Genomic DNA, 16,310 nt, shown 5'->3' with positions numbered 1-16,310 from the left:
TAAAGGAAAAAGCAGGGGTTGTTCTCTGGCAGGCAGGAGTGGGGGTCACAAGGTGCTCAGTAGGGGAGCTTTTGAGCCAGGATGAGCCAGGAGAAGGAATTTCACAAGATAATGTCACCAGTTAAGGCAGGAACAGGCCATTTTCATTTCTTTTGTGGTGGAATGTCATCAGTTAAGGCAGGAACCGGCCATCTGGATGTGTACATGCAGGTCACAGGGGATATGAAGGCTTAGCTTGGGCTCAGAGGCCTGACATTCCTGTCTTCTTATATTAATAAGAAAAATAAAATGAAATAGTGGTAAAGTGTTGGGACGGCGAAAATTTTGGGGGATGGTATGGAGAGATAATGGGCGATGTTTCTCAGGGCTGCTTCGAGCAGGATTAGGGGCGGCGTGGGAACCTAGAGTGGGAGAGATTAAGCTGAAGGAAGATTTTATGGTAAGGGGTGATATTGTGGGACTGTTAGAAGAAACGTTTGTCATTTAGAATTATTGGTGATGGCCTGGATACAGTTTTGTATGAATTGAAAAACTAAATGGAATAAGAGGAGAAAAACAGGTATAAAAGGTCTAAGAATTGGGAGGACCTAGGACATCTGATTAGAGAATACCTAAGGAGATTCAGCATAGTCCTGCCAGCAAAGATTATTTATTTACTTCAAGAGTTAAGAGTGGCGGTTTGGGGATAGCACCAGGAGATATCAGCTGTGATGGCTTGGAGAAACAGTGTAAACCGGCAGTGTAAACAAGAGCAGGGCAAGTATGAATAGTTGAGAACGGTGAATAGGAGTATGACTAGACAGAAGACAGTAGGGATGACAAGTTTTTTGGGGCACAGTCTAAGTTGGTCTGGTGTCGAATGAGACTGGGGCCTAATAAAAAGGAGCGTCTATACAGGAGCTCAAATGGGCTGTATTTTGTAGCATTCTGAGGACAGGTCTGACTTCTGAGAAGGGAAAGTGGTAAAAGTATTGTCCAGTCCTTTTTAAGTTGGTGGCTGAGCTTGGTGAGGTGTGTTTTTAAAAGACCATTAGTCTGTTCTACTTTTCCTGAAGACTGAGGACTGTAAGGGATATAAAGGTTTCACTGAATACTAACAGCCTGAAAAAATGCTTGGCTGATTTGACTAATAAAGGCCGGTCTGCTCTCAGACGGTATAGAGGTGGGAAGGCCAAACTGAGGAATTATGTCTGACAGAAGGGAAGAAATGACTGCGGTGGCCTTCTCAGACCCTGTAGGAAAGGTCTTTACTTATTCAGTGAAAGTGTCTACTTAGACTAAGAGGTAACTTAGTTTCCTGACTCGGGGCATGTTGAGTAAAGCTAATTTGCCAGTCCTGGGCGGGGGCAAATCCCTGAGCTTGATGTGTAGGGAAGGGAGGGGGCCTGAATAATCCCTGAGGAGTAGTAGAATAGCAGATGGAACATTGAGAAGTTATTTCCTTGAGGATAGATTTCTACGATGGAAAGGAAATGAGAGGTTCTAAGAGGCGGGCTAGTGGCTTGTACTATAGCATAGCCTGCCTTTGCTGGTGTGTGGCAATTAAGCCTGGTGGAACTGCCGTCAATAAACTAAGTGTGATCAGGGTGAGAAACAGGGAAGAAGGAAATGTGGGGAAATGGGGTGAACGTCAGGTGGATCAGAGAGATGAAGGAGCCGGGGAGCAGAAAGTATATGTGTCAGGTGTGAGGAAGAAAATAGATTTTGGAAATTATGAGAGCTGTATAGAGTGAGTTGAGCATAGTTTGTGATTTTAAGGGCCTCTGAAAGTATTAGGGTGGCAGCAGCCACTGCACGGAGACATTATGGCCAACCTAAAACAGTAAGGTCAAGTTGTTTGGACAAAAAGGCTACAGGACGCGATCCCAGTCCTTGTGTAAGAATTCCGACTGCACAGCCCTGCACTTCGGCTGTGTGTAATGAAAAGGGTTGGGATGAGTCAGGGAGAGCTCGGATGGGGGCAGTCTCTAAAGCTGTCTTCAAGGAATGGAAAAAGGAGTGGGGAAAGGATTTAGGATCTATGGGGTCAGCTAGGTTTCTTTTTGTGAATTTATATAATGGTTTTGTTAGGATGGCAAAACCAGGTATCTAAAGTAGAAAGTATCTTACCATGCCTAGGATGTAGAAGGTGTTGGGGTTTGAGAGATCAGTCAGACACAATTGGCAGGGAGAGCACGTGTGTTTTTATAAGAATTACGCCGAGACAGGTAACAGATAAGGAAGAAATTTGGGCTTGACTGAAGTAATGGGGGATGTCTGTGAAGCCTTGTGGCAGTACAGCCCAGGTAATTTGCTGAGCCTAATGGGTGTCAGGGCCAGTCTAAATGAAAGCAAAGAGAGGCTGGGATGAAGGGTGCAAAGGAATAGTAAAGAAAGCAGGTTTGAGATCTAGAACAGAATAATGGGTTGTAGAGGCAGGTATTGAGGATAGGAGAGTATATGGGTTTGGCACCACAGGGTGGACAGGCAAAACAATTTGGTTGATAAGGCGCAGATTCTGAACTAACCTGTAAGACTTGTCTGGTTTTAGGACAGGTAAAATGGGGGAATGGTAAGGAGAGTTTATAGGCTTTAAAAGGCCATGCTGTAGCAGGTGAGTGATAACAGGCTTTAATCTTTTTAAAGCGTGCTGCGGGATGGGATATTGGCATTGAGTGGGGTAAGTGTGATTAGGTTTTAATGGGATGGTAAGGGGTGCATGATCAGTCACTAAGGAGGGAGTAGACGTGTCTTATACTTGTGGTTTAAGGTGGGGAGATACAAGGGGAGGATGTGAAGGAGACATTGAACTGGGGGAAAAGGTGGCAATTAGGTGTGGCTATAGCCTAGGAATAGTCAGGGAAGCAGATAATTTAGTTAAAGTGTCTCGGCCTAATAAGGGAACTGGGCAGGTGGGGATAACTAAGAAGGAGTGCTTATAAGAGTTTGTCTAAGTTGGCACCAGAGTTGGGGAGTTTTAAGATGTTTAGAAGCCTGGCCGTCAATACCCACAACAGTTATGGAAGCAAGGGAAACAGGCCCTTGAAAAGAAGGTAATGTGGAGTGGGTAGCTTCCATATTGATTAAGAATGGGACGGACTTACTTTCTACTGTGAGAGTTACCTGAAGCTCGGTGTCCGTGCTGGTTTAAAGGGCTTCCGAGGCGATCGGGCAGTGTCAGTCTTCAGCTGCTAAGCCGAGAAGATCTGGGAAGGAGTCAGTCAGAGAGCCTTGGGCCAGAGTTCCAGGGGCTCTGGAAGTGGCTGCCAGGTGAGTTGAACAGTCCGATTTTCAGTGGGGTCCTACACAGATGGGACGTGGCTTAGGAGGAATCCCAGGCTGCGGGCATTCCTTGGCCAGGTGGCCAGATTTCCAGCACTTGTAGCAAGCTCCTGGGGGAGGAGGTTCTGGAGGAACAACTGGCCACTGCGGTTCAGGCGTTTGGAAGTTCTTGTGTGCTGGAGATGTGGCTGGGGTTTGTCTCACAGTGGAGGCAAGGAATTGCAACTTTTTTCTATTATTGTACACCTTGAAGGCGAGGTTAATTAAATCCTGTTGTGGGGTTTGAGGGCCAGAATTTAATTTTTGGAGTTTTATTTAATGTCGGGAGCAGATTGGCTAATAAAATGTATATTGAGAATAAGACGGCCTTTTGACCTTTTAGGGTCTAGGGCTGTAAAGCGTCTCAGGGTTGCTGCTGAACAAGCCATGAACTGGGCTGGGTTTTTAATGTTTGATGAAAGAGCCTAAATGCTCACTGATTTGGGAGAGGTCTGATAAAGAAAAAGGAGCATTAACCTTGATTATGCCTTTAGCTCCAGCCACCTTTTTAAGAGTAAATTGCTGGGCAGGTGGGGGAGGGCTAGTCACGAAATGAAACTGTAAGCCCGACCAGGTGTGAGGAGGGGTGGCAATAAAAAGATTATAGGGTGGAGGAGCAGAGGCTGAGGAAGAATTGGGACCTAGCTCGGCCTGGCGAGGAGGGGAGAGGTCAGATGGGTCTGTAGAAAAGGAAGATTAGAAAGACTCAGCGATGCTTGGGGTTGGGACTGAGGGGACAGGCGGGAGGGAAAAAAGGAAGATTTGGGATAACTTGCATTGGGAACAGAGACTAGAGAGGGACTGATGTGTAAAAGAATGCCTGGACGTCAGGCACCTCAGACCATTTGCCTATTTTACGACAAGAATTATTTAGATCTTGTAGGATGGAAAAATTGAAAGTGCCATTTTCCGGCTATTTGGAACTACTGTCGAGTTTGTATTGGGGTCAAGCGGCATTGCAGGAGAAAATAAGATGCTTAGATTTTAGGTCAGGTGAGAGTTGAAGAGGTTTTAAGTTCTTAAGAATACAGGCTAAGGGAGAAGAAGGAGGAATGGAAGGTGGAAGAGTGCCTATAGTGAAGGAGGCAAGCCTAGAGAAAAGAGAGTAGAGACACGGAGAAGGGGTGGGGGGTTCTTGCCCTCCAGAAAAGCAGAGAAGGGATCGGGGCATGGAAATAAGGGGTTGGGGCACAGAGATAAGAGGTCGGAGTGCAGAAATAAGGGATTGGGGCACAGAGATAAGAGGTCGGGGTGTGGAAATAAGGGCTCGGGGCACAGAGATATGAGGTTGGGGTATGGAAATAAGGGATCGGGGTGCAGAGATATGAGGTTGGGGTACTTGGCCCTCCCCTAGAAAAGCAGGACTTGCTGCTAAGAGTGAAGGAGAAGGGGTTGGGGGTTTCTTGCCCCCCAGAAAGGCAGAGAAGGGGTAGAGACATGGAGAGGAAGAGGTTGGGGTACTTGGCCCTCCCCTAGAAAAGCGGGACTTGCCACTAAGAGTGAAGGAGAAGGGGTTGGGGGTTTCTTGCCCCTCAGAAAGGCAGAGAAGGGGTAGAGACATGGAGAGAAGGGATTGGGGTACTTGCCCCTCCCCCAGAAAAGCAGGACTTGCCGCTAAGGGTGAAGGACCAAGGCAGGCGTCCCTGCATGGTCTGACACCTCTGAAACATGGGTGAATAGTCAGAGAGGCATCCCTGTAATGATTAAACACCAAGGGAAGGCTGCCTTCCCAGTCCGTGACTGGTGCTGGAGTTTTGGGTCCACGGATAAAACGTGTCTCCTTTGTCTCTACCAGAAAATGAAAGGAATTGAAATTAAGAGAAGGGGGAGATTGAAGTGTGGTGCCAAGATTGAAAGGGGAAAGAGGTTGAGGGATAGCGAGGGAGGTTGGAGAAGAGAGTAAAAAGAGGCCACTTACCAGATTTAAAATTGGTGAGATGTTTCTTGGGCTGGTCGGTCTGAGGACCTGAGGTTGTAGGGGGATCTTTCTCATGGAACAAAGAACAGGAGGACAGAGGATTGATCTTCCAAGGGAGGTCCCCCGATCCGAGTCACGGCACCAAATTTCATGCGCATCTGTGTAAAGAGACCACCAAACAGGCTTTGTGTGAGCAATAAAGCTGTTTATTTCACCTGGGTGCAGGCGGGCTGAGTCTGAAAAGAGAGTCAGCGAAGGGAGATAGGGGTGGGGCCGTTTTATAGGATTTGGGTAGGTAAAGGAAAAAGGGGGGTTCTCTGGCAGGCAGGAGTGGGGGTCACAAGGTGCTCAGTAGGGGAGCTTTTGAGCCAGGATGAGCCAGGAGAAGGAATTTCACAAGATAATGTCATCAGTTAAGGCAGGAACCGGCCATCTGGATGTGTACGTGCAGGTCACAGGGGATATGATGGCTTAGCTTAGGCTCAGAGGCCTGACAGTGTCCCCCTGGTGTAATCAGTCTCCCATGTCCTGGGTAGTAATGAAATGGCATTGTTTGTCTGGGGTAACACCCAAGGTTCGTGGCCTCACACCAAGGAAATCAAGGACATGGACCACAAGCAGTGAGGTTAAGAGTGAAGGTTTAATAGGCAAAAGAAGGAGAAAAGCTCTTTCTCCTGCAAATAGAGAGGGGCTCTGGAGTGCGTCTTCAGGTTCTGAGGTGAAATGCATGGGGTATCATAGACTAGCTTGAGGAGGCAGTGTCTGATTTACATAGGGCCCAAAAGATTGGTCGGACCAGGTGTGCCATTTACATAGCTTGGGAAGAAGCTGGCCACCCCATCCTAATCTTTTGTTATGCAGATGAATCCTCTGTCTGGCCGGCCCCAGGTTGTCTGCTTCTTTACTGCACACATGTTGACAAAGAAAAGGGAAGAAGGAGCCTCCATGTTGAACATGCCTTGCTTCCAGGTATCACTTTTCTATTGGCGCAGCTGCTGGCATTCGCCCGTGCAAGCTTCTAGCTTGCTTTTCTATATCTGCAGCTTGAGTTTTCAGGATGCTCTTTGTTAAAAAAGAAATGATCTTGGGGCTGCTTTTCATTAAAAGGAAAACCTTACTGAGGACTCTGTTACCCTCACTAACTGCCTAAATAATTTCTTTTGGGCTCCTGTATCAGTGATTTCAAACTTTTCCCTCTCTCCTCCTGCAAGCTCTCCTCCTCTCAGCTGACGAATTTGCTTTCAGTTTCACTGACAAAATTAAAAGAAACATTCCATCATCTCTCACTCTGTGTCTACTCCTTGCCTTCCATCTTATTCCTTGGATGAGTGGATCCTGATCCTAGCAGAGGACGACACCCTCATTTGTCCATCAGATCCCAGCCTCTCTCCTATACTCAAGGGCCTCACATAGCATTTCTCCCTCTCCCTCTTATCACAAACTTTCTCCTGTTAGCTGCATCATTCCCATCAGCAAATAAACATTTATATCCTTCTCCTATTAAAAAAATGCCAAATATTGTTTTCACATCTCCCTTTAGCTATTTCCCCATTTACTTTTCTCATTTACAGCAACGTTTCTCAGAAAAGTTGCCTGTACTCACACTCTTACCACTTTTTCTTGAACTCAATCCAACTGGACTAAACTCAACCCTCTAGTTCACCAAAACTGCTCTTGGGGAGATTATCAGTGACTTCTTAGTTGCTAAATCTGTGTTCAAACCTCAATTCTCACTTTACTTGACCACACATCTCAGTTCGCCCAGAACATCCCTAGCTTATTGTTGTCCTGCCAAAGTTGGGTGCCCTTTTTCGACTTTAAAAGTGCCATACTTTGTATAGTAAAGTATATGGTCACTCTCTTATCTGTAGCATTTGATACTTTGGGTCCTGCTGTCTTCTTTAACATTCTTTCTTCATTTGATCTCTGAACACCACTCTCCTGGTGTTCTTCCTCCATTACTGGCTACAAGACCTTATAAATCTGCCCTTCACCCCCATTACCTGTATGATCTCATCTGCTAGTACAATAGGGTGATTATTAGATTAATGTGTTTGTCAGCTATTGCTATAATAATGCTGCATAACAAATGGTCTTACAATTTCAGTGACTTACAACCCTGATAATTTATTTCCATGCTCCTAGGTCTATAGATTGGCTGTGATTTGGGGTGGGGTAGGCTGGGCCAGACCGGACTCCCAGCTTCTGGTTGGACTCAAGACTGCTCCACATGTCCAGGTTGAAAGGGCCCCACTCACTCTACTCTAGGACTGGCTCCCTGCTCCTCCTTAGGATGCCAGGAACACTCCCTCCTTAGCACCTTTCCATTGCTGTGCCCTCTGACTTGTGCAGTTTGCCCTCCGATATCTGCACGGCTCACTTCCTCACCTTCTGAATGAATTGATTCAGAGATTAATTTATTTGTGTACAGGTTGGCTACTCTCAATGTTTGGCTATTCATCTATTGTCTAGCAATCATTAGCTACTTACTTAGTGGATTATGCCTGTGTTGACAGTTCTACTCTCAACTTCATAACCTCTTTAGGGCTGGTAGCACACCAAAAAATGTTTTGAAGCCAACAAATTCGACATTGATGAAAATTAATGCAAGCATAATTTATTGCTGTGCCAAATCCAGTGTAGACATTTTCAATTGGTGAACACAGCTTAATTAAGAGATATTTATATGTTAAATAGAATTAGATAAAACGTAGGTCCCGACTGAAGTACAATTTATAAATCTGCCATTGTTATTGCAAGATTATTAGCTGCAAAAAGCAACCTCTGCTCCTTTCTAAACTTTCCAGGTATACTACATCGCACAGGCCTATATTTGTGTATTTTACTTTCCCATAATGGTTATGTTGGACTTTATTGCCATTTATAGAAATGGAGGTGGGTCTAATAATTTTTTTGAGGTGGAGTCTTGCTCTGTCTCCCAGGCTGGAGTGCAGTGGCACGATCTCGGCTCACCACAACCTCTGCCTCCCAGGTTCAAGTGATTCTCCTGCCTCAGCCTCCCAAGTAGCTGGGATTACAGGCATGCGCCACCACGCCCAACTGATTAGTAGAGACAGGGTTTCACCATGTTGGCCATGCTGGTCTCGAACTCCTGACCTCAGGTGATCCGCCCACCTCAGCCTCCTAGAGTTCTGGGGTTACAGGCGTGAGCCACCGCACCTGGCCAATTGTCTTAAATTCTGTTCCTGCAGACACTTGCACGTGGGCTTGCAAATCACAGAAAATACACCCTGGTGCCAGCAGGTGGCACCCTCCTCATGCCCAGCCAGGCTCCTCCCAGGAACTGCATTCTGGAGTCCAGGGAGCTTTGGTTTGGGAAATATTTGCCAGGGTTTCTGGTTATGGTCTTTCCCCAACAGGCACCTGTTTGACTGGCATTTCCTGGCATGCACCCATCTTAGCATATTTCTTTGTCGGTAGAGTTTGGCTTGAAGGGAGGTTTCAGTAATTGATTACCTCACACCACCAGGTAAGTTCAGACTTCCTTAGCTTAGAAACCAAACTACACAGAGTGGTGAAAATAAACACGGTCTTGAGTAACTCAACATGGATATTGCTGTTATACTAATAGGGTGTTAATTAGTAAAGAGTGCTTAACTTTTTTACTGCCAATCTAAACAAGCTGGCTATGTTTTTGGCTGTGGGCCCTACAACTGCATCTCAAAGTGCTTTGCAAACATTAATTAAATCCTTCAGTGCACATCCAAGTAGTAGGTATCATCAAACCCTTTTCCAAGATGTGGAAAACAGATTCCCTAAGCCAGTCCTTGCTTAAGGTTAGGCCCAAACTGGGACTGGGTTTAGAATGTTGTGAACAGTTCTGACACTCTCTGCGCCCAGTTCCCTGGAGTGTTCCAGCAAGTCAGCCTTTCAGCCAGACCATGGACGCCTTTTTCTTTGCCAACAACTGCAGGGTCTGAATTTTTCCAGGCTGAGGTTGATTCCTTCTACCCTGTTTGTCCTTATTGATACATTATAACCTGTCACCTCCCTGTCACTTAATTTCTGTTTTAGCAACTGTGATCTTCAAGATGGTGGCTCACAACCTTTGATGCACAGACTTAGGCTGGCTGGATGCAACATTTCTCAGGAAATGCCAAGCACCATGCCACAGTCATCTGAGGTCCTCTCTGAAAAGATACACTTTATCTTTCTGTCATGGTGGGACCCAGGTTCTGGGCCACAGGACTTGGTGGGCTAAAAACACTCACGCCCTATGAGGAGTAAAGGGCTTCTTCCCTGAGTCTTCTATTTCCAGAGTGTTCCTCTCTTCCTTGAAGATGCAGGAGAACAAAACGCACAGGGCACCCAGAAGCGAGGAGTGCCCCCATGCATTCCATGCTGGTGTGTCCAAGGTGCACTGTTTATGCTCTGCCCTGCTTGGGGAGCAGTGGCTCCCAGGCAGGCTGGGCCGGTATCACAGCGAAGCGGGTGGGACCCCCTGTCATCCCCAGAGGCTGGCCTGGCTCTCAGGAGTGAGCCCTGTGGAGTATCAGGCTCAGCGCTTCCATTCTGTCTACCTTGGACACGTGCTGTGGTTATAAACCAAGGTTGCAACACTCCCTGAGCTTTACTACCTGCCTTCTAGATGTGAGGTCAGGCTGACCTGTCAAGCTGTGACAGGCACCTGGGAGCAGGTTACTCACTCCACTCTGCTGAGTTAGGAGAATATTCCCAGAAGAGGTTTCACACCAGATGAATTGTCTGAACTCCGGATGTGGCTAGCCATAAGTGGCTCACACCTGGTGGCTCCTCCAGAAAAGCTCTCCAGGAGGAACCCTGCTGCCCTTAGTGAGCTGAGCAAGGGGGTGTTCCAAGGGAAACCTGACCTCCAGCCAGATACCCTGCAAGGGCTACCTAACTGCAATAGGAGGTTCTCCTGCAAAGACAGCTAGAGGGGCTGCTGTTAGCTTCCTGTCACCTGCTTTCCTTGCTTTCTTTACTTTCCAAGGCAGAGAAGAACTCCACAAGTAATTAACCCTTTACAAACTGAGTCACCGGACTTGGGCTATACAGGACTAGAGGGTTTAGTTGAAGAAGTTCACGTTGTAAAAATAGTGCTTTATGGATCTCTGGAACCTTTGGTAGTACTGTATATGGATTTCCTGAACCATCAGCAGAACACACAGTTAGGCAAGAGGCTCCTGGGGTGCTTCCAGCCTCTGGATCTCCTAGCCTTGCTAGAGATGTGAGGTCATTGGCACACACTGTGTCTATCTAAGCAAAGGCTGGACTGGAGTTTACAGTATGAATTATTGAGTGGGACTCATTTGTGGGTGCAATAAACTGAATGTTTATGTTCCCCTAAATTCATATATTGACAACCTAACCCCCAGTGTAATGATATTGGGAGGTGGGGTCTTTGTGAGGTGATTCAGTCCTGAGGATGGAGGCTGACAGTATTAGTACCTTTATAAGAGACTCCAGAGGGCTCTCTGCCTCCTCCTGCCATGTGAGGACAAAGCTAGAAGACATCCGTCTTTGGGCCAGGAAGCAGGTCCTCACCAGACACCAAATCTGCCAGCATCTTGATCTGGGACTTCCAGCTTCCAGGAGTGTGAGAACCAATTTCTGTTGCTGATAGGCCATCCAGACGGTGGCACTCTGTTACAGCAGCCTCTACAGACCAAGACAGTTAAGGTCTTTGGCCACCAGCTTAATGGCCAGACACCTTCCTCTTACACAAAGGAAGAGCAAGTTTTGGCAATATTGTGCTGTTACATGGTGGTCCCCTAACTACTCCTGGAGTGGGGGGTTCTGGGAGTGCTATACAGAGGGGTGGAATATTCTATTCTGCTAATGTGTGTTCAGCCAAAAGGAAGAAGGAAGGAGGGGAAAGAGAAGTAGGAAAGGAAAAAAGCTCCTAGAATTTGGTTAAGTCACAATGTTACAATCCCGAGGGTGCCAACCTTAAGATGGCAACTGATGAAGACAATGACGACTTTGGGGACAGTTCCTAGGACATATGTAGCCATCTGGGTGGGAGGTATGGATTTACAGTCAAACCTACTTTATACCACAATGCACAATACAGACCACGACTACATGCCTGACTAAAAAATGTTTTCAAACACATGCTTTCAAGACACTAAGGAACGTCTCTAAAGGCCCCAAACAAACAGGGTGGGAATCCAGAGAGGTGAGTGAGAAACAGTCAGTGGTAGGCCCAGGGACTTATGGCAATTCCCCATGACTGGAACATCATTTGCATGGCCATACATAGGACAGGATGCTCCCACGGTGGAAGGGTGTATTGGAGACTCAAATAAAATAGTGACTACCGAGGGCTATACCATCAGTTACAAAAGCATAAAAGAAAATGTCGATCCCACAAAAATGAAGGCAGCAAGAATGCATGTCTCAGCCTTGGCTCTAGGTAGAGGAAAAAGAAAAGAAAAAAAAAAAAAAAAAGAAGGGCTCTCTTCGCTGTGAATTTGTAAATAAAAGCTGGCCTTCATACAGTTTGGGACCTGAATCCATGCTACACAGGTGGCTGAAAGATCCTCAAGCCTCCCTAACTAATGGTGTGCATGCAAAACTATTTAGGAGGAAGCATACTGATGCCTGCAACTTACCTTCCAATACATTTAAAAAATAAGACAGATTGATGGATGGAGAGAGAGGGATGTGTAGATGGACAGACACATGATAAAGCAGGAAGAATAAAATGTTAGTAAAACCTAGGTGGTGGGTATAGGGTATCTTTGTGATTTGGAGTTTTCTCATATGCTCTAAGTTCCCATGTATTTAAGCCTTCTTTAATGTCTTTCTGTAAAGTTTAATCATCTTCTCCACTGATAGCTACATACTTTTATTGGATTTATTCCTAGGGTCTTAATATTTTTAATTGTTATTATAAATGTGCCATGAGTATTTTTCAAGATATCTGACTTTCCACATTCCCAGAAATTAATCTTTGAGATTTTGAACTTTTTTTCATGGATTTGGCTGCAAACATGTGTTGTCATGGTTAAATATTCCACTTTTAAAATGCACCTTCTAACTCATTATCCCTTTTAAACTGTAACTGGTATGCCCTAGGCCTCATCAGCCTACAAGATCATATTTCTATTTATACCTAGAATTAATATGGCCTTATCACCCCCATGATGCTTTCCTGCAGGAATCTAGTGTTGTATCTAGTTGTCTCTGCCCTTCTAAGGATTTCTGAGGTTCAAGCAGAACTGATTTCATGTTCCGCAGACCTCTGCTGGGCGCTGCTGGCAGCAAGGGCCTGTGTCTCACTCTTGGCAGCTGAGCCACCAACGAGCCTTCACCAACACTAAGCTGGGGATCTCCCAAGACTCCTGCTGCTCTTGCCTGAAGCACCTCCTCCCAAGGACAAGCACACGCCCATCCCTTAATTCCTCGCAGTAATGGCTAAGCCAGGAGCGGAAGGTTCAGAGATGGTAGGGGTGATGGGTCAGGGAGACGACACCAGATGCAGCCCAGGCCCAGGATCACACCTCCATGGGACAGGGGCCAGCTTCTCTCCACTACCAGCTCTACTCTTGAGCCTGTAAGTTCAAACCAACTCGACAAGACCCAGAGAGAGGAAAGGGTTTTTGAATCTCTTCGCTCTGAGATTTGCCTCCCTATTCCTCATTTACTATTCCAGGTAAAACTCCTTCCAAGATGATTGACAATGGGAAACTCCACTCCCTTTAGGGGGAAGCCCCACCTCCTCCCAAAGGGGATGGTCCCTTTGCAATCAATGGCCCCTAACAAGACGATCACATCAGAGCATCCTGATCTAATATGAGTATACTCAGTTATTCTGTCATAAGTAATTCTGCATTGATAAGATACTCCCACATAGATACTGTGGGAGATACTACAGACAGGCACACTCAACTCAGTTCCAAACCCATCCTTAGAAATTTGCTGATCCGTTTCCTTGCCCCTATGAAGAGTGGCTCTGAGATCCCAGGGCTGACCGTGGTTTTCCCAGGGAGAAGCATGTGATGGCAGAGTCCAGGAGTGTGATTGTAGCAATGTCTGCTGCCATCGAAGTGGAGGACTCTGAGTGTTAATGCTGATGGGCTGAGCTCATTAGATATACAGAGTTCTCCACTGCACTGGTAGTCAGAGTGCAGAGGCCCAGAGTAGCCCACCAGAGCTGCTGCCCAGCCCTGGCCTGAAGTGAAGGGACACAGAACCAGCATCTTAGAGAGAGAGCATCCACACTCCCCTCTGGCCAGGGTGGAACTTCTCATGGACTAGAGGCACACACAGGAGGGTGGGGAATATGGAGACAACACACCCAAGGCAGCTTTCAGGAGTGATGTCAGAACTGAAAGCCTAAGAGACAGGCCAAGAGATGCTGTATTTTCCAGAGGCTGGGAAGGGGGGGGGCGGGGTTCATTATAATTGTTTCAGGAGCCAGCACTGGATGACAACTCCAGGACAGTTTCGGGCTTTGTAGGCATCATCTCCTATACTCTTCGCAGGCCTGTAAGAAAGGCACCATACTATCCCTGGTCTAAAAATTGGTGAGGGCAAAAGGGTAGAAGCTGGGTCCTGCTCAGTCTAACTTTCAAGCCCTTACTCTTAATCCCTGTTCTGTTCACTTTACTTGTTTATGCAAAAAAAGAAAGGGCAAAAAGAATAAAATGCTATTTTTTTAGCTATCATATTTAGCAAAAATTTTAAAAATAATAGTTACCGCCACCAAGAATGCAGTGAAAGGGGTAGCCTCACTTGATCATGAGCCCAAGCTCTCTAGAAATCTTTATATCACATGCTTTGAGTCAGCAATTATGTTTCTATGATAAAACCATGCAAAAACCTCTGAAATTTACCTTAAGGAAACAACTGAAAGGTGGACAAAGATTTATGTACAGCTGTTGTTGTTTTTGCAAGTAAAGTTGCAAAAAAAATGAAAATGTTGCAAATGTTTAAAGCAATTTGTTTAGTAAGTGCTGTTATATCAATTCAATGGGATGTTATGCAATTTTTCTAAATGATGTTTTAAAAGAATGTTTATTGACTTGAAAAATGCTCATCACATAATTTTAAGTGGAAAAAAGCATGGCATTTTTTTTGTCTCAATATCATTTAATAGAATTTGCAGGGTTTTTTTTTTCCATTAGGTCATACAGATTTCTTACTAGGGTATCTTATACTTTAATGAATGGATCATCTTTTTATCTGGTTACTGGCGATCTGTAGTAAAGTATTTGGTATTTCTATTATTTTCTAGTACATAACTAGTTTCTTTATATAATAGCTTTTTAGTTAATTCTCTTGAATATTCTAGCCACAAATACAAATAATATTTTTTTCGACTTCTTTCAAATATCCATGCCCCATGTCTGGTTTGTGTTTATGGCATTTTCTCAGAACTTCCAGGTCCAGTTTAAATGATTGTCATTGTTATCTCCAATATCTCCCACTTCTCCATCAACCAGTCTACCCATCCCCTTCCCAACTCCTCCAGAAAGGAATAGTTGCTAATTTGATTGATCAACACTGAGGGAACCACCTGGGTCTTGTTTATTGGTGGGCAGCATCATTACAGAGGTGGCAGCATCATTACAGAGGTGGCAGCATCGTTACAGAGGTGACAGCATCGTTACAGAGGTGGCAGCATCGTTACAGAGGTGGCAGCATCGTTACAGAGGTGGCAGCATCGTTACAGACGTGGCAGCATCGTTACAGACGTGGCAGCATCGTTACAGAGGTGGCAGCATCGTTACAGAGGTGGCAGCATTATTACAGAGGTGGTGGCACAGCCAGGCTCCACTCTCACTTACACTTAATGCACCAGAATCATGGGCCGCACCATGCCTCTCTCCCACTGAGGATTGGCCTGAGCATATTGCTGATTGCTTCAGCCTCCCATACCATGGAACCCACCAGAAGAAGACAAGACCCCCAAGACTTGGACTCAGGCTTAGGGAGCTCCTAAGCTACCTGCTCCACCCCAGCTTTGACCTGCTCTGGAAGGGATTAGGCTCTGGTTCCGCTATCATGTGACACTTGAGTGCCTTTCTGCTCTTGCTCCTTGTATGAGCAGCTCTTGCCGGAGCCTCACAGAGGGAGAAGTGATGGTTAGATGGGATTCAGGCTTCCCTTGGATCTTCTAGCCAAATACTATCCATTTCCACTAACACTTCACCCACCTTCTGCTCTTTTTGGTTCTGCCTGCAGGATTTCACTTTCATCCCATGTGGCAGGATCAGAGCTAAGCCATTGCCCCTCTAAGTCGCAGTCATAACATTCTTAGATTTCTTCTTCCATAGGCACTACATGGTCAAGGAGTGTGAGCTTTGGGAGCATCAGGTCCTCTCTCCATATCCTCTTTGCTCTCTCTTCTCATGCAGTAAGTCCTGGAGCTACTGCCATGTGCAGCCTTCACAACCTTAGAGTGGTGCTTGGCAGTTGGTGGCAAACTAGACATTTTTGACTCCCACCCTCTTTTCCTCTTTCTTCCACGTTATCCTGTTCTGGTAGGAATGGACTGGCTTTCCCTCCCTCAGGTTTATGCTAGAGAAGATGTCTCCAGATTAATTTACAGAAAATCAACCAAATGACCAGTCCCTTAAACTATCCAATGGTTTGCAGTAGCTGGGGATGCAATAGCCCTCTGTCCACATGCAAGGAAGAGGGGATGGACAGAGGATCCTGGGCAGTGTTCCAGCTTATTTGATTCCCTAGTCTATCCTTAGGGATGTGGCTCCAGGGGTCCCATGGGCAGTATTCCAGGAACATCTTCCAGGATTTAGAGGTGGTTGTGGGATGGCCATTCTGAAAGTCTCTCTCATCCAATCCCACCTGGAAGGAAACAGGGGGTATGAAGCTAGGAGAAAAACTAAAACTTGGAAAGTTCTTAAAGCCTATTCAGATAATTTCATAGATCATTATAATTTTTTTTTTTTTGAGACAGAGTCTCAATCCGTTGCCCAAGCTGGAGTGCAGTGGGGTGATCTCGGCTCACTGCAACCTCTGCCTCCCAGGTTCAAACGATTCTCTCGGCCTCAGCCTCCCGAGTAGCTGGGATTACAAGCGCCCGCCCCCACGCCCAGCTAATTTTTGTATTTTTAGTAGAGATGGGGTTTGCCATGTTGGC

General features: G+C 46.0%; 1 annotated feature.

The window, feature by feature from the left end:
- Positions 5,818–6,323: an enhancer, noted in NCBI's record as "OCT4-NANOG-H3K27ac hESC enhancer chr2:70847073-70847578 (GRCh37/hg19 assembly coordinates)". NCBI's record gives its function as "activates a minimal SCP1, AML or CMV promoter by ChIP-STARR-seq in naive H9 embryonic stem cells {active_cell/tissue: H9 hESC(naive)}" and the evidence as "EXISTENCE:reporter gene assay evidence [ECO:0000049][PMID:30033119]".

This window comes from Homo sapiens, chromosome 2 (genome assembly GCF_000001405.40).
Source record: "Homo sapiens chromosome 2, GRCh38.p14 Primary Assembly".
In the NCBI taxonomy this organism is placed as follows: Eukaryota; Metazoa; Chordata; class Mammalia; order Primates; family Hominidae; genus Homo; species Homo sapiens.
Note: the sequence above shows the minus strand (reverse complement) of the source record. Positions and strands in the feature narration are given on the sequence as shown.